This window comes from Homo sapiens, chromosome 17, assembly GCF_000001405.40.
Source record: "Homo sapiens chromosome 17, GRCh38.p14 Primary Assembly".
Taxonomy (NCBI): domain Eukaryota; kingdom Metazoa; phylum Chordata; class Mammalia; order Primates; family Hominidae; genus Homo; species Homo sapiens.
The window spans coordinates 76,006,031-76,029,049 of record NC_000017.11 but is presented as its reverse complement, the minus strand read 5'-3'; the positions used below and the strand labels follow the sequence as shown (position 1 = coordinate 76,029,049).

At 59.6% G+C, this 23,019-nt stretch overlaps 1 protein-coding gene across 2 annotated transcripts, besides 1 other annotated feature; it reads left to right on the top strand.

The window, feature by feature from the left end:
- Nucleotides 1,275–2,162: an enhancer, noted in NCBI's record as "H3K4me1 hESC enhancer chr17:74022969-74023856 (GRCh37/hg19 assembly coordinates)". NCBI's record gives its function as "activates a minimal SCP1, AML or CMV promoter by ChIP-STARR-seq in primed H9 embryonic stem cells {active_cell/tissue: H9 hESC(primed)}" and the evidence as "EXISTENCE:reporter gene assay evidence [ECO:0000049][PMID:30033119]".
- Nucleotides 1,744–22,205, top strand: EVPL (envoplakin). 2 transcript variants are annotated; one of them, NM_001988.4, is made up of 22 exons: nt 1,744–1,949; nt 4,930–5,029; nt 5,396–5,550; nt 5,632–5,758; nt 6,512–6,637; nt 6,823–6,861; nt 7,022–7,183; nt 7,269–7,376; nt 7,487–7,582; nt 9,397–9,522; nt 9,990–10,136; nt 10,450–10,604; nt 10,792–10,889; nt 11,139–11,311; nt 13,422–13,600; nt 13,685–13,823; nt 13,941–14,134; nt 14,474–14,624; nt 16,961–17,044; nt 17,168–17,278; nt 17,382–17,474; nt 18,507–22,205. In NM_001988.4, exons 1-22 carry the CDS (start codon nt 1,852–1,854, stop codon nt 21,945–21,947), a joined length of 6,102 nt encoding a protein of 2,033 aa, NP_001979.2. In that variant the 5' UTR covers nt 1,744–1,851; the 3' UTR covers nt 21,948–22,205. The 2 variants fall into 2 exon arrangements, with proteins under 2 accessions (NP_001979.2, NP_001307676.1); NM_001320747.2 differs by having other exon boundaries at nt 10,792–10,955.

Here is a 23,019-nt window from a genome sequence, read left to right as displayed (position 1 = left end):
TTGGCCCCCGTAGTCATTCACACAAACGGCTCCTTTCTGAAGACAGCTGATTGCAGGTGTGCAATGAGTGGCTAGAAGACAAGTGTCACCAGGAATAAAGTGGGAGCAGGCTGGGGCAGAGGCTGAGTGGCCAGTCATCCCTGGTGCCATCTCACTCAAGACACGGGCTGGGAGCCAAGGACACTGGAGACCTCTTTGTTTCCTCATTGCTGTCAGGGGCTGCCACTGCCCTCCCCACCCCTACTGCCCCTGTCAGCTCCTCCACCTCTAGGAATGGGGGTGTCCTGCATCCCCTCTCCACGGCCGAGTTCAGGGACTTCCCATGAAATTCAGCCAAAAAGGGCGCAGGACTTTTCTATCCCATGGGGGCCTGAGGCCAGTATCAGGCGTCGGTCCCTGGTCTCCCCCGTCTGCTGGGATCTTTCTCTCCTGCCAGGCTGTGCTTTGTCCTCAGCGAGGCCTGCCAGGATGTCCAGGTGATGTCACCCAGTCAGTCTGTTCCATCCCCTGGCTCCCCCTCAAGCCCTCCTTCCACTAAAACCACGGGGGTTTCAGGAATGACCTGGAAAGCGACGCCACCCCGCAGAAGGGGCCTGTTACGCTGGGCCAGTGAAATGAGCGCCTGGAAAGGGGGGTGCCATCGCCTCTTTCTTGAAGACGCTCAGGGCCACCACAGAAGGAAAAGGCAGCAGCCCTGGTACCCAGTGTGAGGAAAAGACCAATAAGCTGGCATCACTGTCTGCCACTCAATCTGACTTCATAAAAGCCACCAGGGGCCATTTCTGGGTGGGGGAAGAGGCAGGTAGGAAAAGCCAAGTGCATCAGGCTCCCGGGCCTCAGCCAGAGCCCAGGCTTACTGGCGCCTGAAGCCAGCCCTGGTGCTGCTGCACTGTGCACACTTTATAAAATGGGGCCAGGCGTGGTGGCTCATGCCTGTGATCCCAGCATTTTGGGAGGCCGAGGCGGGTGGATCACTTGAGGTCAGGAGTTCGAGACCAGCCTGGCCAACATGGTGAAGCCCCTTCTCTGCTAAAAATACAAAAATTTTCTGGGCGTGGTGACGGGCACCTGTAATCCCAGCTACTCAGGAGGCTGAGGCAGGAGAATCGCTTGAACCCGGGAGGTAGAGGTTGCAGTGAGCCGAGATCATGCCATTGCACTCCAGCCTGGGTGACAGAGCGAGACTTTGTCTCTTAAAAAAAAAAAAAATGGACCTTGTGCCAGTTGTCTGGAGTGAACGTCCCCTGACTGCCCCATCATGTCAGTGGAGAACAGAGAGTCAGGCCCTGGGCTGGCAGGACACCCCCTCCTCTCCTGGGGGATTGAGAGCTGTGGGTGGGGGCCTGCCTGGCAGCAGGTCCTCTGAGCTGGCTGGAGGTGTTTATTAATCCTGAGCTCCGGGGCTGGGGCCTCTCCGCTGAGCCTGCACCTGCATGTGCACGTCTGTCTCCAGCCCTGTCTGTCCTGGCCCAACTCCTTCCCTATCTGGGTGTGATCGCCGCTGCGCTCCCCTAGGCATGTGGGTGTAACAAGTCCAAACCTTCTGTGGGAGTCGGGCAGGCTCGGCCCCGCCCTCAGGGCTGTGCCCTTTCCTCCCAGACTGGTTGTGCAGGAGGAGGCATGAGTGTGGCCGTTGTGGGTGCATGCGCGTCAGGCCTGGGACCCGGCCGCCCGCCCGCTGCCTCACCTGCAAGGAGGGGCCTCCCAGAAACTCCCTTCCCCAGTGCCCAGCCGCCCCACCTCGCCAGACTTAGCTGACCAGCCAGTGAGGACGCCCGCTGCCTCCCACCTGCCCTCCTGCCGTCTTTCGCCAGCCAAGCCCAGCCTGAGCCAGCACTTGCCTTTACGACCATGTTCAAGGGGCTGAGCAAAGGCTCCCAGGGGAAGGGGTCCCCCAAGGGCTCCCCCGCCAAGGGGTCCCCCAAAGGCTCCCCCAGCAGGCACAGCCGGTAAGTGGGACTGGGGGATGGGGAGCCGGGGAACTGGGGTGGGGGTGGTGCCAGGCCCAGGTCCTTGAGCCACCTGGCGGCGGCGGCGGCCCAGAGCCCAGGACCAGCCCCGTGCTGGCATTTGGTGTCCTGAGGCCAAAGGGCCCAGGGATGGACTCTCTCCCTGCCTTGGGAGCCGCAGGCCCAGGCCGAACTTCAGCCCTGGCAGGAGGCAGGGGATGACCTGGGGCTCCCTACATCCTCTAAGGGGGCCTGAGGGCCACGGATTGAGGCCGCTTCGCGGGAGAAGTGCTGGACAGGAGCCTGCACGGAGGCCCTCCTCTGCCAGAGGCTGGGAGACAGGAGAGCCTGGGAGACAGGAGAGCCTGGGAGACAGGAGAGCCTGGCTGCCTGACTGCAGCTCTGCCCCAAGGCTCTACTTGGCTGGGATGACCCCTGGAGCCTGGGTACAGGGCATGAGGACTGAGGGGACGGGGTGGGATCCCTGGGGTAGGGATGCAGGGGCTGTGCTGCCTCCTGCCTAAGCCACAGCCCTCCCCAGAGTTCTCACCCAGGGCCTTGTTGTATTGAAGAGTTAGGGGTTCATGGCCGGGCGCCGTGGCTCACGCCTATAATCCCCGAACTTCAGGAGGCCAATGCGGGAGGATTCCTTGAGCCCAGGAGCTCGAGACCAGCCTGGACAACATAGGGAGATCTTGTTTCTGTAAAAAAATAAAAATAAAAAATAGCCAGGCATGGTGGCTCGTGCCTATTGCTTGAGCCCAGGAGTTTGAGGCTGCAGTGAGCCATGATCACACCCCTGCGCTCCCGCCTGGGTGACAGACTGAGACTCTGTCTTAAAAAAAAAAAAAAAAAAAATCCTGGCGCAATACCTCACGCCTGCAATCCTACAACTTTGGGAGGCCGAGGCGGGTAGATCACTTGAGCCCGGGAGTTCGAGACCAGCCTGGGCAACATGATGAAATCCCGTCTCTACAAAAAATATACAAAAATTATCTGGATGTAGTGGCGCATGCCTGTAGTCAGAGCTACTTGGGAGGCTGAGGTGAGAGGATCACTTGAGCCCGGGAAGTCGAGGCTGCAGTGAGCCGTGATCACTCCACTGCCCTCTAGCCTGGGTGACAGAGCAAGACCCTGTCTGTTAAAACAAAATAGAGCTGGGGCTTCCTTTTCCAGTGGGTGTGGTGCAGGGGGCACTGGGCCTCCCTTGGACCACCCGGCTCTCTGGAGCCCAGCCTCAGCAATCTGTGGATGGATTGGGCGGTGTTCTTCCCACTCACTGGCTTCAGCTCGTCTGCAGAGGAGGCAGCAGCCCGCCTGGGTCCAGGGTGTCGAGATGACCTCAGGGATGAAAGGCTGGTGTGGGAGTGGGGGTGCCCATTACCCCGATAGGGATCAAGGCACCAACAGACACCGAGGCTGGGTGTCTGGGCGGACGGGAAAGACAGTGGTTAAGACTCTCAGCTAACACTCTCGCTGAGTGACCTGTCCTCCCTGGGGCACCTGAGCCCCACCCAGGGTGGAGTGTGCAGCTCCCGGTGGGAGCAGCCATCCCAGGAGGCGGGACCTGAGGAGGGGCGCCCAGGGCCCAGCACCTGCAGCTCCCACTGTCCAGGCAGGCTCCCCAGCAGTGCGCTCCTGGCCTGGGGCAGCTCCGTCCTCAGGGCCCTGTTGGCTCTCCCCTCACGTGCGATCCACTCGTTTGACATGAACTTACTGAGCACTTACTGTATGCCAGGACTGTTCTAGGCACTGGAGATGTCACTGTAGACAGAACCAACAAGCCCCTGCCTTCAAGGCACTAGCCCTCTAATGGGATAAAAACTAACACGTGCTGGGTGCCGACCCTGCACCAGGCCTGCACTGGACGTTTCAGATGGATAAATTCAATTAATGCTCACAATAGCCCTAAGGCATAGATATTTTTATTAAAATCCCGCTTTACAAGTGAGGAACCTCAGGCACAGAGAGGTTGAGTAACTTGACCAAGGTCAAGTCCATCATCTTTCTGATGGAGAAAGATGAAACCAGGGTGTCTTGGCCACAGAGTTCTTCCAGACTGCTGTGCCTTCACCAGCACTGTCCCTTTGCCTGGGGGGGCCCATCCTTTGACCCAGTTCAAGGCTTCTCCTGCCCCAGCATAATGATCCCCCATAAGGCACTGTGCTCATAAGGCTTGGACCAATCTGCCCTCTTTTAGGTCTGCTTGACCTTGTGACCTCCGCACAGTGAGTGCATGCACACAGCAGGTGCTCTATGGAGGCTGCAGGGCGAATGCACAGAAAAAGCCCTGGGGTGGAAGCAAGGTTTCCCCTCCACCCCTGACCATGTGACTCAGAGCAAGTCAGAGCCCAATCTGGGCTTTGAACCCTCAACTCTGGAGAATGTTAGGGTGCCCAGTAGTCTCTTGCGCCTGCCCCACCTCCCCGGCTCCGACAGTGTGAGGCTCCTCTAGATGGCTACTGAAGCCAGCATGCTGGCAAGGCTCCCTGGGGTGGAGGAGGTATAGGGGAACACAGGGCTGGAGTGCGAGGAGGTGGGGATGGGGGACATGCTGCTGCCTCCCTGCCCCAGCCAGCCCAACTACCCCTCCCAGGGCCCAGCCAGGCTGGCTCAGGTGCTAGTGGCTGAGCCGGTGATTCACTGGCTCGGGGAGGGAAGTGGCAGGTAGCTAGGTGGGGTCGGGAACTCACTGCCAGCACAGCTGGCTAAGGCTGGGACACCGAGGCCGCCTGCCCCCTCCCCAGCACCACACAAACCTGAGACCCTCACCTTTTGACCCCTCATGTGGCGGGGCAGTGCTAACACCCCCAACCAGGACTAGCTCACAGAGCCTTCTGCAGAGAGAGACCCCAAAGTCAGGGCAGTGAGCTAGGCTGTGGGGGCAGGATGGGGTGGAGGGAGGGCAGGGGATGCCACCTGGATGGGGCACAGAGGGGCCTCTTCCACCGAGCTACCCGCTGTCCCCTCCACACACTAGGGCTGCCACCCAGGAGCTGGCCCTTCTCATCTCCCGCATGCAAGCCAACGCCGACCAGGTGGAGCGGGACATCCTGGAGACGCAGAAGAGGCTGCAGCAGGTGAGGCCCCGGCAGCAGTTGGCAGGGCGTGGACAGGCTGGGTGGCATGGGAGGCCCATCATCAGGCCTGGCACTCCCTGAGTGCCCCTTGGTGATGGTGAAGATGGGACAGATGACCTTTGTCCTGCACCGCCCATCCCCTAACACACGGTGGGAGAGAGGGCTCAGCTTCCTTCTTTTCTGGGCTCCCCTGTGTCCTTGTCACCTGCCCCACGGACGCCCTGGTCCTGACCCTGTGCCTGGCGTGGGCCTCAAGGTTGGCTAGCATAGCTGGGGTCCCAAAGTTGGGGCTCAGGCCCACAGTGATGGGCAGCAGGGGTGTGGGGGCTCTGGGCCCTGGCCAGTCTGCCCATCTCCTGCCCACAGGACCGGCTGAACAGTGAGCAGAGCCAGGCCCTGCAGCACCAGCAGGAGACGGGCCGCAGCCTGAAGGAGGCTGAGGTGCTGCTCAAGGACCTCTTCCTGGACGTGGACAAGGCCCGGCGGCTCAAGCACCCGCAGGCTGAGGAGATTGAGAAGGAGTGAGTGGAGCTGCGGCAGGGCTGGGGGTCCCTGGGGAAGACCCAGGTCCAGCCCTGACCTGCCGGCCACCTTCTTGACAGCATCAAGCAGCTGCACGAGCGGGTGACCCAGGAGTGTGCGGAGTACCGTGCCCTGTACGAGAAGATGGTGCTGCCCCCCGACGTGGGACCCAGGGTCGACTGGGCACGCGTGCTGGAGCAGAAACAGGTCAGGAACTCAAAGTCACACCCCAGTGTGATCAGAGGGCGATACGGAACTGCATTTAATCCAGGGCCTGACTGCAGGCTTGAATAGTCAGGGTGTAGGGGTGGCTCAGGGGTCTGGGCAGAGAGACAGCAGAGTAGACAGTGCAGTCAGGGAAGACTTCCTGCAGGAGGAGGTACATGAAGAGACCTCAGAGGGGTGAGAGGGCTCAGTTGGGCCAGGGTGAAGTAGTGAGGAGAGGACAATTCCAGAAAGAAGGAGCAAAGGTTCCTGCCAGGAGGAAGCCTGGGCTTCGACGGGAAGTGGGGATTTCTGGGCAGGTGGGCAGAGCCAGGTCATGGGACATTCTGATCCCTGGTTGAGGAGTTGTGCTTTGATGCCACACAGAAGGGGTGTCATCATGACAATAGAGGGACAGTGGGGAAGGGCCCGGCTGGAGCAGGGCATTCTGAGGGCCCTAGAGCTTGGCTGGTGGTGTCCAGGCAGGAAGCACTGAGGCTGGGTCACAGACAAGGCAGGATGGAGCTGGAGACTTCTTAGAGGCTGAGCCCAGCGTCTGGGAACCAGTGGGACTCAGGGGCCACTGCAGAATGGCCTCGCCCCTGGGGGAGCTGCAGGGCATGCACCCGGGCTGCTCCCAGGCTCGTCCACGCTCTGCCCAAATGACCAAGTCCACTTCTCCGGGTGGGAGGCGTGTGGGGTTCTCTGGCTCCCCACCGCGGTCCTTTGGGGACTGAGCCGCCGGCTCTCCTGCAGAAGCAGGTCTGCGCAGGCCAGTACGGGCCGGGCATGGCGGAGCTGGAGCAACAGATCGCCGAGCACAACATCCTGCAGAAGGAGATCGACGCCTATGGGCAGCAGCTGCGGAGCCTCGTGGGGCCGGTAGGTGAGCCTGGAGGATGTCACATCCGGGGCCAGCCCCAGCCCGTTTCTCCAGTCAGAGCCGGAGCTAGATCGGCTGGGCCCTGGGGATAGGGGTGGGTGGGGTATGGCTGGCCCAGATCTTAGGGGGCCGTCTCCCTGCACCCCACCTCTCACGGGCTTGTTTCTCCCCTTGGTCGAGGCAGGATGCAGCCACCATCCGGAGCCAATACCGAGACCTACTGGTGAGCAGGAGGGAGGGTCGGGCAGGGAGGCTGCGGGTGGGCCTGGGTGGCCGCCCGGACCCTGCCCGGGGCCAGTGTTCCTGAGCGCGGCCCAATGGCGCCTTTTGCCCCCCACTTTCTGTCTCCCCACCCTGCTGCTGGCGGCGGGTCCTGAGCACAGAAGGCGGCGTCGTGGCGCGGGCAGAGCCTGGGCAGCCTGTACACGCACCTCCAGGGCTGCACGCGGCAGCTGAGCGCCCTGGCTGAGCAGCAGCGCCGCATCCTGCAGCAGGACTGGAGCGACCTCATGGCCGACCCTGCGGGCGTGCGGCGGGAGTACGAGGTCGGCTGGCAGAGGTCGGGGCCAGGTGGGGGCGGCCAGGGCCATCCGGGTCCTCACCGCCGCTCCCCACCCGACTCGCCCCCAGCACTTCAAGCAGCACGAGCTGCTGAGCCAGGAGCAGAGCGTGAACCAGCTGGAGGACGACGGCGAGCGCATGGTGGAGCTGCGGCACCCCGCGGTGGGGCCCATCCAGGTGCGCTGGGGCAGGGCGAGAGTGAGAAGGGACGTGGTGGGCGGGGAAGGGGGGAGGTGGGGCGGACGTGGGGGGGGCGTGGTCCGAGGGCTCCATGCTGCCGTACCCAGGCCCACCAGGAGGCCCTGAAGATGGAGTGGCAGAACTTCCTGAACCTGTGTATCTGCCAGGAGACCCAGCTGCAGCACGTGGAGGACTACCGCCGGGTGAGCCCTCGGGCAGGCGGCAGGGGCGGCAGGGGCGGCAGGGGCGGCAGGGGCGGGAGCACAGCACCCCTGCCCACAGGAGAGGCACTGCACCTCCCAACTAGACAGAGCTGGCAGGGCGCGGTGGCTCACACCTGTAATCCCAGCACTTTGGGAGGCCGAGGCTGGTGGATCACTTGAGGTCAGGAGTTCGAGATCAGCCTGGCCAACATGGTGAAACCCTGTCTCTACTAAAAATACCAAAATTAGCCAGATGTGGTGGCACGCGCCTGTAATCCGAGCTACTCAGGAGGCTGAGGCAGGAGAATCGCTTGAACCCAGGAGGCGGAGGTTGCAGTGGGCCGAGATTGGTCCACTGCACTCCAGCCTGGGTGACAGAGAGAGACTCCACCTCAAAAATAAAATAAAATAGAGCTGTGTGGTTGCCACTCGGTCCCAGAGGGAAAGAAAGGCATGGGCACATTCTCAACAGGGTGAAGCGGTTCCCAGGGGGGTGAAAATTGGTTCTTACTGGCAGAAAAATATCTTAACTCTTTTTATGCATGAAGTCCAGATCCACATACAGCACCTAAGCTGTATACAGCATATCTGTGGTATTAAAATTTCGTGGGGGCCAGGTGTGGTGGCTCACATCTGTAATTCCAGCACTTTGGGAAGCCGAGCCAGGAGAATTGCTTGACACCAGTAGTTCCAGACCAGCCTGGGCAACATAGCAAGACCCTGTCTCTATACAAATAGATACATCTCTATCAAAATAAATAAATAAATAAAATTTTATGGGGATGAGGTGGGGGGAAATTAAATAAAATATTTCTTAAAAGGCTCTTTAGGAGAATAATAATGAAAAAAAAAACGGTTGAGAAACCCTGATATAATATGCAACTGGGATTTGGGGGCAGATAATGTTTCATACATTTTCCTATAGAACCACAAGACTGTGATCACACACGTTGACAAAAATTCCGTCAAAGCACCTGGAATGCTTCTTTAAAGCACAGCTTCTTCTCCGGGGCTGGGACAAGTGCAGCTCCAATACCCTCTGTCCCAGCAAGAAAGACTTCAGGTGCTGGAGGGAGGCAGGTGACGGTGCCCTTCATTTGTGCAGGAAGGACGAAGACCAAGTGTTTTATGACCCACTTAAAAAAATTAAGTTCAGTGCACAAATAAGACCCCATTTGCAAGAGCACACCAGTGATAAAAGGTCCTGCCGCCTGGGTAGGAAAAAGAAAGACCGACCAGAGTAGGGGAGAGTGACAGTTTAGGTTTAGCTGGTTTAAGTTTAGCTGGTTTAGGTTTATCTGGTTTAAGTTTATCTGGTTTGTGTTTAGCTGGTTTAGGTTTATCTGGTTTAAGTTTATCTGGTTTGTGTTTAGCTGGTTTAGGTTTAGCTGGTTTAGGTTTATCTGGTTTAAGTTTATCTGGTTTGTGTTTAGCTGGTTTAGGTTTAGCTGGTTTAGGTTTATCTGGTTTGTGTTTGGCTGGTTTAGGTTTAGCTGGTTTCGGTTTAGGTGGTTTGTGTTTAGCTGGTTTAGATTTAGCTGGTTTAAGTTTAGCTGGTTTAGGTTTACCTGGCTTAGGTTTTTCTGGTTTAGGTTTAGCTGATTTGTGTTTAGTTGGTTTAGGTTTAGCTGGCTTAGCGGTTACTGGTTTAGTTTAGCTGTTTCACATTTATCTGGTTTGTGTTTAGCTGGTTTGTGTTTAGCTGGTTTAGGTTTAGCTGCTTTGTGTTTAGCTGGCTTAGGTTCAGCTGGTTTGTAGGGTCAGTGGGCAGCAGGTTGCACGAGGCTCTGCCCTTGACCACCCAGTGAACTCAGTTCCAGGAAGAGGCCGACTCAGTCAGCCAGACCCTGGCGAAGCTCAACTCCAACTTGGATGCCAAGTACAGCCCTGCACCTGGGGGCCCCCCTGGCGCCCCCACAGAGCTGCTGCAACAGCTGGAGGTGAGACAACCCCACCAGGCCGTCTGCACCCCACTTCTGGGAATTGGTCCTGTCCATTTTTCTGGGCCTCACCCCTTCTGCCTTGGTACCTAGTCCTATCCCAAGCCCTGGCCTGGGTGCTGGCAGGGGGGTTTACTCTAGCAGGAGGCTGGCCAGGTACCAGCAAGCTCCTCCCACTTCTGGACGTCAGTTTCCTCATTTGCAGTGGGACAAGGGCAGCCTGGGAGAGCTCTGAGGCCTGTCTAGCTTCTGCTTGGTGGCCTGGGTGATGCTGTGCCATCCCCCTCCCTGCAACTAGCAGATCCCAGGATCCTAGGTCCCCCAGAGAGGGGCTCCTTTTACTTTGCTGACTTAGAGACCCCTGCCTTCATGAAGGCCAGCCTCTAGGCCTTTTGAAGGACAGGTATGGTGTGGCCAGCCTCCAATGCAGCCTGGCCTGAGTCCCCCACTGCCTGGGCCCCCGGCAGGCAGAGGAAAAACGGCTGGCCGTCACCGAGAGGGCCACTGGGGACCTGCAGCGGCGAAGCCGGGATGTGGCCCCTCTGCCACAGCGAAGAAACCCCCCTCAGCAGCCCCTGCACGTGGACAGCATCTGCGACTGGGACTCAGGAGAAGTGCGAACTCCCCCACCTCACCCCTGCCACCATCCAGCCCCGCCCAACCCATCCCCTGCCCCTGCCCAAGCCCATCCCTGCTCCATCCCCAGCTGTCTCCTGCGCCCACTTTTGCCCTACTCCTTCCCTTGACTCAGACCCTCCTCTCTCCAAGTCCTGTCCTGCCTCTTTTCTACCCCAGCACCTCCCACCCTACTCTTGTCCCTGTTCCAGCTGCTGTCCCCATTTGTCTCTGTCCCCAGCCCCTACTCTGCCCTGGCCTTGGCCCCCTGCCCCTGAGCCCTCAGGAGCTGCTCCCTTTCTGTGCCCCCAGGTGCAGCTGCTGCAGGGTGAGCGGTATAAGCTGGTAGATAACACTGACCCGCACGCCTGGGTCGTGCAGGGCCCTGGCGGGGAGACCAAGCGTGCTCCCGCCGCCTGCTTCTGCATCCCAGCACCAGACCCTGATGCTGTGGCCAGGGCCTCCCGGTAGGTCTGTGTAGGGATACTCAGGGGCAGGCTGTGGGCAGAGCAGGCCGGCCCTGCGGTGTCCAAGCCCATGGCCCAACAGACCCCTGCTCAAAGGCTGGCCTTCACCTGAAGCTGCGTCTACTGGGGCTGGGGAGGGAGAGAGGCAGAGTGGGGACCTCTTTCTTCAATCTCCTCTTCATTCTAGGCTGGCCTCAGAGCTGCAGGCCCTGAAGCAGAAATTGGCCACAGTCCAGAGCCGCCTGAAGGCCAGTGCTGTGGAGTCTCTTCGGCCCAGCCAGCAGGGTACCCAGGGTGGCCCGGGGAGAGGTGGCTGTGGGGCTAGAAGGAGTAGATTCCGACTTCCGACTGGTCTGTGATGGGCAGGGGTCGCCTTGGGTTAGGGACCATCACTCTGGGGATTTCATCTCTGGGGTGGCCCTGCCCATCCCCTCCACCCTACCCCGACAGGACCCTCTGTGGGCACCTGGTGGGGGCACCTATCTGGCAGTCTGGAGATAGGCCCTGGGCCCTCACCAGCACCTCTGCCCCCAGCTCCATCTGGCTCAGACCTGGCCAACCCACAGGCCCAGAAGCTCCTGACACAGATGACCCGGCTGGATGGAGACCTGGGACAGATAGAGAGGCAGGTGCTGGCCTGGGCGCGGGCCCCGCTGAGCCGCCCCACACCCTTGGAGGACTTGGAGGGCCGCATCCACAGCCATGAGGTGGGTGAGCAGCGGGAAGGGGCGGCTGGGATGAGAAGCGGCCCGGCCCTGGTGCTCACACTTGAGGGAGGTGAGGCAAGTGCAGGAGCGGTGGCTGGGATGGAGATGGAGAAGGGTGTGGACAGACCCGGGCTCAGACAAGCTGGTTCCCCTCCTGGCTCCTCCACTGACCAGCTCCAGGATCTTGGACTACATAACTCTCTGGGCCTTGGTTTCCTCATCCCTGAAGCAGATGTAATAATGCCCAGCTCGCCTGATCATTCAGGAAGGTTCCAGTAGGGCCCAATGTCAACACCCCAGGAGGTATTCTGGTGAAGCTCCTGAAATAGCAAGGAAGCCTGGAGAATCTTAGGAAGAGATGTCCCCTGGCTGCAAGGGGGAGCCTACCTGGGGAGGTTGCAGCATTGTGTAAACTCCTTACCCAAGAACAGCACGTGGACTCAACACTCCCAAAAGTGCTCAGAGTGAAACCCACACCGGGCCGCAGTCTGGGTTATCCTTCCAAACCAGTTTCTTTTCTTTTCTTGAGACAAAGTCTCTCTGCATCACCCAGGCTGGAGTGCAGTGGCACGATCTTGGCTCACTGCAACTTCTGCCTCCCAGGTTCAAGCAATTCTCCTGCCTCAACCTCCGGAGTAGCTGGGATTACAGGCACACACCACCATGCCCAACTAATTTTTGTATTTTTAGTAGAGATGGGGTTTCACCATGTTGGCCAGGCTGATGTCGAACTCCTGACCTTAAGTGATCCACCCATCTCGGCCTCCCAGAGTGCTGGGATTACAGGCGTGAGCCACCGCACCTGGTCTGTTTTTTGTTTTATGAGATGGGGTCTCACTTTGTCACCCAGGCTGGAGTGCAGTGGTGTGCAATGGTATAATCTCAGCTCACTGCAACCTCCACCTCCCAGGCTTGAGTGATCCTCCCACCTCAGCCTCCCGAGTAGTTGGGACCACAGGTACAACACTGAGCCCAGCTAATTTTTTTGGTAGAGATGGGGTTTTGCCATGTTGCCCAGGCTGGTCTCAAACTCCTGAGCTCAAGCGATCCTCCCGCATTGGCCTCCCAAAGTGCTAGGATTACAGGCATGAGCTACTGCACTTGGCCATATTATTATTATTTTGAGACGGGGTCTTGCTTTGTTGCCCAGGCTGGAGGGCCAGTGGCATGATCAAGGCTCACTGTAGCCTCAACCTCCTGGTCTCAAACAATCCCCCTGTCTTCACCTCCCAAGAAGCTGGGTCCTTAGGTTTTGAAGTCATAGCATCTGCCACATCAGCGGTGTTGGGGTCCAGGAGAAGCCCAGTTAGACTGGGCGGTGGGTGGTGCCTGGTGCAGAGTCAGCACTGCTCGGTGATGGACCAGGCAGATGAGTGAATAACTGATGAAAGAATGAGGGCAACAGTCCCTAGTGGGCAGAGCCAGGGCTTTGGCTGGAGCGACAGGGCCAGGGGACCTGATGGTCTTGTGAGCAGGACAGTGACATGAAGATGACTGTAGGTAACTGTGCCTGGCGCTCACTGCTGAGCTCAGGACACAGGCTCTTGTGTCATCCTCCCATCAATCATTCTTTTTTATTTATTTTATTTTTTTGAGATGGAGTCTTGCTCTTGTCTGCCAGGCTGGAGTGCAGCGGTGTGATCTCAGCTTGCTGCAACCCCCACCTCCTGGGGTTCAAGCAATTCTCCTGCCTCAGCCTCCTGGGTAGCTGGGATTGCAGGTGCGCGCTGCTACGGCCGGCTAATTTTTGTATTTTTAGTAGAGACAGGGTTTCGCCATGTTGGCCAGGCTGGTCTCGATCTCCTGACCTCAAGCAACCCACCCGCCTTGGCCTCCCAAAGTGCTAGGATTACAGGTGTGAGCCACTGCGCCCGGCCCCTCCTATCAGTCATTTTGTAGATGAGGAGACTGAGGGTCAGACAGTTTGCTCTGCCCCAGGTCATCCACAGAGGAACGAGTAGCGCCAGGACTGAACGCAGTTCTCTGGCCTGAGCCCAAGCATGTACCCACCACACTCTACTGCCTCCATGGGCGCAGAGTTAGGGTATCCTGGTAGAAGAGTCGGGCGGAACCCACCTGCCCAGAGATCCCTGACCCCGCCCCTCTTTAGGGCACAGCCCAGCGCCTGCAGAGCCTGGGAACGGAGAAGGAGACAGCCCAGAAGGAGTGCGAGGCGTTTCTGTCCACGCGGCCCGTGGGCCCCGCTGCCCTGCAGCTGCCCGTAGCCCTCAACAGCGTGAAGAACAAGTTCAGTGACGTGCAGGTTCTGTGCAGCCTCTACGGGGAGAAGTGAGTGCTCTGGGGACAGGGCAGCCACGCAGGGCAGCAGCGTGTGGCCCAGGGAGTGTCTGAGCCTTGCCTCCTCTGCGGCAGAGCCAAGGCTGCCCTGGATCTGGAGCGGCAGATCCAGGATGCGGACAGGGTCATCCGAGGCTTCGAGGCCACCCTGGTGCAGGAGGCCCCCATCCCTGCTGAACCGGGGGCTCTGCAGGAGAGGGTCAGCGAGCTGCAGGTAAGGGACCAGCCGGGGCCTCCTGGTGTCAGGGGAACCCAGCATTCAGGGGCGGGTGGGTGGACACGGCGTCTCCCCAGCCACGAGGGTGCACGGCTGCGTCCCCTCCTCCTGCAGCGCCAGCGGAGGGAGCTGCTGGAACAGCAGACCTGCGTGCTGCGGCTACACCGCGCGCTGAAGGCCTCGGAGCACGCATGCGCTGCCCTGCAGAACAACTTCCAGGAGTTCTGCCAAGACCTGCCTCGCCAGCAGCGCCAGGTGCGAGCCCTCACCGACCGCTACCACGCCGTAGGGGACCAGCTGGACCTGCGGTGAGCGACTGGGTCCTCGGGGCACAGGGTGTGGGCTGGTGCAGAGCCAGGCATTGCTGTCTACAAGCTGTGTGATCCTGGGCTAGTGACTTCACGTCTCTGAAGCTGTTTCCTCATCTCTAAAATGGGATAACAACAGCACTTACCTCCCAGGGTGGTGCCTGGTAGAGACTGTCCCATCTCTGAATTCCCAGGGTCAGGGAGTGGGGATCTGCACAGCAGGCCACTCGGGCCTCCTGACCTGCCCCCAGGAGGAGGCTCCCATCAGCCTCCCTGTGCACCTGCCCCTGTCCCCACGGGGCAGGTCTTATCTCTGTTCTGGGCCTCGTCCTCCTGCAGGGAGAAGGTGGTGCAGGATGCCGCCCTCACCTACCAGCAGTTCAAGAACTGCAAGGATAACCTGAGCTCCTGGCTGGAGCACCTGCCCCGCAGCCAGGTGCGGCCCAGCGACGGCCCCAGCCAGATCGCCTACAAGCTGCAGGCGCAGAAGGTGAGGCTGGGGCAGGGACAGCTGCCTGTGCCCATGTGGCCCCCTAGTGGCCAAAGCTCAGAAGCGCTCTAAGGGGCTTCAAAGCCCAGGCCACGGAGGCCCTGGGCCCCTTCCCTGGCCTCCAGCTGAAATGCTCCTCTTTGCCCACAGACGGGGCCAGCCCATCTCTGTCTGGCCCGACTGGGGCAGTGGGATTTACAAGCTCAGGCCACAGAGCCCTGAGGGTTCCGGCCACTTTCTCATGCTCATCAAGCCCCTGCCATGTACCAGGCAATGTGTTCACTGGGGTACAACCCTGCACCCTGGCAGCTCCCAGCCTGGTGGGGGAGGTCTGTGATGCCGACAAGCATTGGTGGGAGAAGCTGGAGTGCTGTGGGTGCCCCCAGGCTGGACACACTTGCGGGTCAGGATCGGTAGTGTGGGAGGAAGCAAGTGTAGCCGGGGGAGGGATGAAATGTCCCATGCAGAAGGCATGGCAGTCAGGGGAAAGGAGGGGGACTCAGGGGCGAGGGCGACCAGATGGGCAGACCACACAGGCCCTTCCGGCACAGGACCCAGGCTGCACTCTCTCCTGCAGCCCCCAGAAGCTGCTGGGGAGGGGATGCTTCCAGGCCAGTGTTTAGAAGCTGGCTCTGGCTGCCATGTAGAGAATGACTAAGAGGGTGGGAATGAAGACACGGAGGCCCACGAGGAGCCAGGGTGGAAATCCAGCGGAGAGAGAGTGGTGGCCTGGCCGGGGAAGGGACCATGGCACAGGGCGAGGTGGGCAGATCTGAGATGGAGATGGCAGAATTAGGTGGACTTGGTGACTGCTTGAAGGGGACAGTGAGTGAGATGGACGGGGCCCGGTGATGCCCAGGGTTCTGTTGGGGACAACTGGGAAGAGGGGGCACCTCCACTTGAGGCGGGAACACAGGAAACAGAGCATATTTGGGGAGAGGAATGGGGCCGGCTGGGTCATGCTGAAATGAGGTGGCCAGGACAGCCGAGGGCAGCGGGGAGGTGGACGTAGGCATATGGGAGGGAACTGGGGCTGGGGGTTCCCCTAGGAGCTCGTGAGAGCAAAGATGGGTCTGGGACTGCCGGAAAATGAGAATATCTGGGGAGAGAGTAGGGAGGTGACATTGGGAAGGGGGCCTGGGACAGAGATTCTCAGCCCTGGCTGCAAACTAGAATCTCCCAGAGAGCTTTTAAAACATCCCCAGGCCAGGACCCCTCCCCAGACCAAATAAGTTGGATTATTGTGGTCAGAGCATCAGTATATTAAGTTCCCAGGTGAATAAAAGTGGGCATCCCGTATTGAGAACTTTCCAATTGGAGCCATGGTTCTGGATGAGCTGTAGCAGCATCACCTGGGGACTTATCAGAAATATGAATTCTCAGGCCGGGCGCGGTGGCTCACGCCTGTAATCCCAGCACTTTGGGAGGCCAAGGCGGGCGGATCACAAGGTCAGGAGATCGAGACCATCCTGGCTAACACGGTGAAACCCCATCTCTACTAAAAATACAAAAAATTAGCCGGGCACGGTGCTGGGCACCTGTAGTCCCGGCTACTCGAGAGGCTGAGGCAGGAGAATGGTGTGAATCCAGGAGGCGGAGCTTGCAGTGAGTCCGGATAGCGCCACTGCACTCCAGCCTGGGCGACAGAGCAAGACTCCGTCTCAAAAAAAAAAAAAAAAAAAAGAAAAGAAAGAAATATGAATTCTCAGGGCCACCCGGACCTGCTGGATCTGATGTGCAGGTGGGCCCTGCATGCCTGCCTGCCTCCCACAGGCCCCAGGTGATGCTCGCAGATACTACTGTGCTAGAACGGAACTCTGAGGGGCACAAGGCCAAAGAAAGGTGGCTCATGCCTGTAATCCCAGCACTTTGGGAGGCCGAGGCTGGCGGATCACCTGAGGTCAGGAGTTCGAGACCAGCCTTGCCAACATGGCGAAACCCCATCTCTACTAAAAATATAAAAATTAGCCTGGCATGGTGGCAGGCACCTGTCATTCCAGCTACTCAGGAAGCTGAGGCATGAAAATCGCTTGAACCCAGGAGGCTGCTGTGAGCCGAGATCACGCACTCCAACCTGGGTGACAGAGTGAGACTTGGTCTCAAAAAAAAAAAAAAGGAAAGAAAGGGATTCTGCCAAGGTGCCTCGGAGAGGAAGGAGGAAAAGCAGAGAGAATGATGTCAGGGAAAGGAGGGAGTTTGGCCCAGGTCTCCCTCCCTGCCCTTTCTTGTCCCTGGGAGGCAGCTCTGCCTGACTGTGGCCCTGGAGGCACTGGCTAGAGGAGAGTCAGGGTGATTGGCATTTCCTGGCCTCCTGACTCTGGGTTCTTCCCTGGCAGAGGCTGACGCAGGAGATCCAGAGCCGAGAGCGGGACAGGGCCACAGCATCCCACCTCTCCCAGGCCCTGCAGGCAGCGCTCCAGGTAAGCAGCTTGCCTTCAGCTTGCCCCTCTCCATGCATCACCCTTGTCCCTCTTCCAGCCCTATCCCCCACACCCAGCCTCCCCCACTGGTTGCCAGCCTGCTGTCCTTTCCTCCCTGCTCAGGACTATGAGCTCCAGGCAGACACCTACCGCTGCTCTTTGGAGCCCACCCTGGCAGTGTCAGCCCCCAAGAGACCCCGAGTGGCTCCCCTGCAAGAGAGCATCCAAGCCCAGGTGAGATGGGACCTTGCGGGGCTCAGTGGACCTTGACACCAGCTCTGTAGGGTCCAAGGCAGGAGCTGACTCTGCCCTTCCCCTCTCCCTCTGCCTTCTCCAGGAGAAGAACCTTGCAAAGGCCTATACTGAGGTTGCAGCAGCACAGCAGCAGCTGCTCCAGCAGCTGGAGTTTGCTAGAAAAATGCTGGAGAAGGTACACAGACAACACCTACAGCTTTCCCACAATAGCCAGGAATAACCAGGAATGCCCACTCCATTCCCAAAATGCCAGGCTGTCACCCTGGTAGTCTCCTTCCCTCCTCTCCCTCCTGCCTGCAGCCCCTGGGCAGCTCTGGCTGCTGGAGAGGGGAGCGGATTCCAGCCACCCAGTTTTCTCTCCAGCAGCTCTTACAGGCTGGTGTCCATCCCAGGGTTAGGCCCTGGAGATGGCATTCATGGCCACTGGGCATCCTCCAATGGGACAAGACCTCTAACCCCAGAGAGCAGAGAAAATCCCCTAGAGCTTCACCCTCAGCCACCTGGCTCTCCACCTTCGGCCTACACACCCTCAAGCCAGAACTTCTCCAGGACTCCTGGTGACTTGCCAGCTTTTCTGTTACCCTCGGCCACAGTCAGGGTCCCTGGATGGAAGGGGAAAAGGGAGAGGTTCTGGAGGGACAGGGAGAACCTGTCCTGTTTGCACTTTTTTTTTGTTTTTTGTTTTTTTTGAGACGGAGTCTCGCTCTATCACCAAGGCTGGAGTGCAGTGGCACAATCTCAGCTCACTGCAACCTCCGCCTCCCTGGTTCAAGCGATTCTCCTGCCTCGGCCTCCTGAGTAACTGGGATTACAGGCATGCGTCACCACGCCCAGCTAATTTTTTGGATTTTTAGTAGAGATGGGGTTTCACTATGTTGATCAGGCTGGTCTCGAACTCCTGACCTCAGGTGATCCGCCCACCTTGGCCTCCCAAAGTGTTGGGATTAAAGGCATCAGCCATTGCACCTGGCCCTTACTTGCACTTTCTAATGCAAACCAGGCCTGCGCACTGCCTTGGGTCCTAAAATCATTGCATTGACTGGGTCTTCTCAAAATCCTATATCCAAGCATCTTAGGTCTTCAGCTCCACCTCTGAGGACCCACTGGGGAGTCTCAGGAAACAGGGAGGGGTCTTTCATCTCAGGAAAAACATGGAGCTCCTATCTCTACCGCCCACCCCGTGCTCTACCCTTCTTCCTCTCTGCAGAAGGAGCTCAGTGAGGACATCCGAAGGACCCATGATGCAAAGCAGGGCTCCGAGAGCCCTGCCCAAGCAGGGAGAGAGTCAGAGGCCCTGAAGGCCCAGCTGGAAGAGGAGAGGAAGCGGGTGGCCCGGGTGCAGCATGAGCTGGAGGCGCAGAGGAGCCAACTGCTGCAGCTGAGGACCCAGCGGCCCTTGGAGAGGCTGGAGGAGAAGGAAGTGGTAGAGTTCTACCGGGACCCCCAGCTGGAGGGCAGCCTGTCCAGGGTGAAGGCCCAGGTGGAGGAGGAGGGCAAGCGGCGGGCTGGCCTGCAGGCAGACCTGGAAGTGGCAGCCCAGAAGGTCGTGCAGCTGGAAAGCAAGAGGAAGACCATGCAGCCTCATCTGCTGACCAAGGAGGTCACCCAGGTGGAGAGGGACCCCGGCCTGGACAGCCAGGCGGCCCAGCTCAGGATCCAGATCCAGCAGCTCCGCGGGGAGGATGCCGTCATCTCGGCCCGGCTGGAAGGGCTGAAGAAGGAGCTACTGGCCCTTGAGAAGAGGGAGGTGGACGTGAAGGAGAAGGTCGTGGTGAAAGAGGTAGTCAAGGTGGAGAAGAATCTGGAAATGGTCAAGGCAGCCCAGGCTCTGAGGCTGCAGATGGAGGAGGATGCTGCGCGGAGGAAGCAGGCGGAGGAGGCTGTGGCCAAGCTACAGGCTCGCATCGAAGACCTGGAGCGGGCTATCAGCTCGGTGGAGCCCAAGGTCATCGTGAAGGAGGTGAAGAAGGTGGAGCAGGACCCAGGGCTCCTCCAGGAGTCCTCCAGGCTGAGGAGCCTCCTCGAGGAGGAGAGGACCAAGAACGCGACGCTGGCCAGGGAGCTGAGCGACCTGCACAGCAAGTACAGCGTGGTGGAGAAGCAGAGGCCCAAAGTGCAGCTCCAGGAGCGCGTCCACGAGATCTTCCAGGTGGATCCGGAGACAGAGCAGGAGATCACTCGGCTCAAGGCCAAGCTGCAGGAGATGGCGGGCAAGAGGAGCGGTGTGGAGAAGGAGGTGGAGAAGCTGCTGCCCGACCTGGAGGTCCTGCGGGCCCAGAAGCCCACGGTGGAGTACAAGGAGGTGACCCAGGAGGTGGTGAGGCATGAGAGGAGCCCCGAGGTGCTGCGTGAGATCGACCGCCTGAAGGCTCAGCTCAACGAGCTCGTCAACAGCCACGGGCGCTCCCAGGAGCAGCTCATCCGCCTGCAGGGTGAGCGCGACGAGTGGAGGCGCGAGCGGGCCAAGGTGGAGACCAAGACGGTGAGCAAGGAGGTGGTGCGCCACGAGAAGGACCCGGTGCTGGAGAAAGAAGCAGAGCGGCTCCGCCAGGAGGTGCGGGAGGCGGCCCAGAAGAGGCGGGCCGCGGAGGACGCGGTGTACGAGCTGCAGAGCAAGCGCCTGCTGCTGGAGAGGAGGAAGCCCGAGGAGAAGGTGGTGGTGCAGGAGGTGGTGGTCACCCAGAAGGACCCGAAGCTGCGCGAGGAGCACAGCCGGCTGAGCGGGAGCCTGGATGAGGAGGTGGGCCGGCGGCGCCAGCTAGAGCTTGAGGTGCAGCAGCTGCGGGCCGGCGTGGAGGAGCAGGAGGGCCTGCTCAGCTTCCAGGAGGACCGCAGCAAGAAGCTGGCCGTGGAGAGGGAGCTGCGGCAGCTGACCTTGAGGATCCAGGAGCTCGAGAAGCGGCCTCCCACGGTGCAGGAGAAGATCATCATGGAGGAAGTGGTCAAGCTGGAGAAGGACCCGGACCTGGAGAAGTCCACGGAAGCCCTGCGGTGGGACCTGGACCAGGAGAAGACCCAGGTAACCGAGCTGAATCGGGAGTGCAAGAACCTGCAGGTCCAGATTGACGTCCTCCAGAAAGCCAAATCGCAGGAGAAGACCATCTACAAGGAAGTGATCCGGGTGCAGAAGGACCGCGTCCTGGAAGATGAGCGGGCCCGCGTGTGGGAGATGCTCAACAGGGAGCGCACGGCCCGGCAGGCCCGGGAGGAGGAGGCACGGCGCCTGCGGGAGCGCATTGACCGGGCCGAGACGCTGGGGAGAACCTGGTCCCGGGAGGAGTCCGAGCTGCAGAGGGCCCGGGACCAGGCCGACCAGGAGTGTGGGCGGCTGCAGCAGGAGCTGCGGGCTCTGGAGAGGCAGAAGCAGCAGCAGACACTGCAGCTGCAGGAGGAGTCGAAGCTGCTCAGCCAGAAGACGGAGAGCGAGCGACAGAAGGCGGCCCAGCGGGGCCAGGAGCTCTCGCGGCTGGAGGCGGCCATCCTCCGCGAGAAGGACCAGATCTACGAGAAGGAGCGGACGCTCCGGGACCTCCACGCCAAGGTGAGCCGGGAGGAGCTCAGCCAGGAGACCCAGACGCGAGAGACCAACCTTTCCACCAAGATCTCCATCCTGGAACCCGAGACGGGGAAGGACATGTCCCCATACGAGGCCTACAAGAGGGGCATCATCGACAGGGGCCAGTACTTGCAGCTGCAGGAGCTCGAGTGTGACTGGGAGGAGGTCACCACCTCGGGGCCCTGTGGGGAGGAGTCTGTGCTCCTGGACCGCAAGAGCGGGAAGCAGTACTCCATCGAGGCCGCCCTCCGCTGCCGGCGCATCTCTAAGGAGGAGTACCATCTGTACAAGGACGGCCACCTGCCCATCTCCGAGTTTGCGCTGCTTGTAGCTGGGGAGACCAAGCCAAGCTCCTCACTCTCCATCGGCTCTATCATCTCCAAGTCCCCGCTCGCCTCCCCGGCCCCCCAGAGCACCAGTTTCTTCTCTCCCAGCTTCTCTCTCGGGCTCGGTGATGACAGCTTCCCTATCGCCGGGATCTATGACACAACCACAGACAACAAGTGCAGCATCAAGACGGCCGTGGCCAAGAACATGCTGGACCCCATCACTGGGCAGAAGCTACTGGAGGCCCAGGCGGCCACAGGGGGCATCGTGGACCTGCTCAGCCGTGAGCGCTACTCTGTGCACAAGGCGATGGAGAGGGGCCTGATCGAGAACACCTCCACACAGAGGCTGCTTAACGCCCAGAAGGCCTTCACCGGCATCGAGGACCCCGTCACCAAGAAGAGGCTCTCGGTGGGCGAGGCCGTCCAGAAGGGCTGGATGCCCCGGGAGAGCGTGCTCCCACACCTGCAGGTGCAGCACCTGACCGGGGGGCTCATCGACCCCAAGAGGACAGGCCGCATCCCCATCCAGCAGGCCCTCCTCTCCGGGATGATCAGTGAAGAGCTGGCCCAGCTCCTGCAGGACGAGTCCAGCTACGAGAAGGATTTGACAGACCCCATCTCCAAGGAACGGCTGAGCTACAAGGAGGCCATGGGCCGCTGCCGCAAAGACCCCCTGAGCGGCCTGCTGCTCCTGCCAGCGGCACTGGAGGGGTACCGCTGCTACCGCTCCGCCTCCCCCACCGTCCCGCGCTCCCTTCGCTGACACGGGCCAAGGAGCCAGTGGGGAAGTGCGTGTGTTGGGCCAGGTAGGATACGTACACCTCTTGCCTCAGAGCAGCCTCATCCCAGGCAGTGGGTCTTCCCTCTGTCCAACCACTGTTTTATTATTTTACTAACATGGTGATGGGCTCCCTCCCCTAACCTTGGTGCCTGATCCATCCCCAGACCAGGACAGCAGCCACTCAGTTCTTCCTCCACCTCCACCCAGTGATCCCAATAAACGAATTCTGTCTCCCCGTGCCATGTGGTGTCCCATTCATTCACATTTGAGAGTGCAGGACCCATGTGTCTGGGGGATGAGTGCAAGGACAGCGTTGCTCAAGTCCTTGCCTGGGCGGACGTGCTCAATTTGCCTGCCTGGGAAACAGGCATCCTCGGAGGGCTGTGCCTCCTTGAGTGCGGGGCAGGGATGCAGTGGCAGGTCATGGAAAGAGATTATGGTTTAAAATCACTAAAGGAGGCCGGGCACAGTGGCTCACACCTGTAATACCAGCATTTAGGGGGGCCAAGGCGGGTGGATCCGAGGTCAGGAGTTCGAGACCAGCCTGACGAACACGGTGAAACCCCGACTCTACTAAAAATACAAAAATTAGCTGGGTGTGGTGGTGCACACCTAAAATTCCCGCTACTCAGGAGGCTGAGGCAGGAGAATCACTTGAACCTGGGAGGCGGACGTTCCAGTGAGCAGAGATCATGCCACTGCACTCTACCCTGGGCAACAGGGTAGACCTGAGACAGCGAGACTCCATCTCAAAAAAAAAAAAAAAAATGGGGGCTTGGTGGCATATGCCTGTAATCCCAGCTACTCGGGAGACTGAGGCAGGAGAACTGCTTGAACCCATGAGGCAGAGGTTGCAGTGAGCTGAGATTATGTCACTGCACTCTAGCCTGGGTGACAGAGTGAGACTCTGTCTCAAAAAAAAAAAAAAAAAAAAAAAAAAATCATGGACTAGCCCCTGTCTCCCCACCTACTCCTTGCCCATTTCCCCACTGTCTCAGTTTGGGCCAGAGCTGTCTCCAGCCCTGTGTCAATGTTCCCCTTGTCAGGAAGCCCA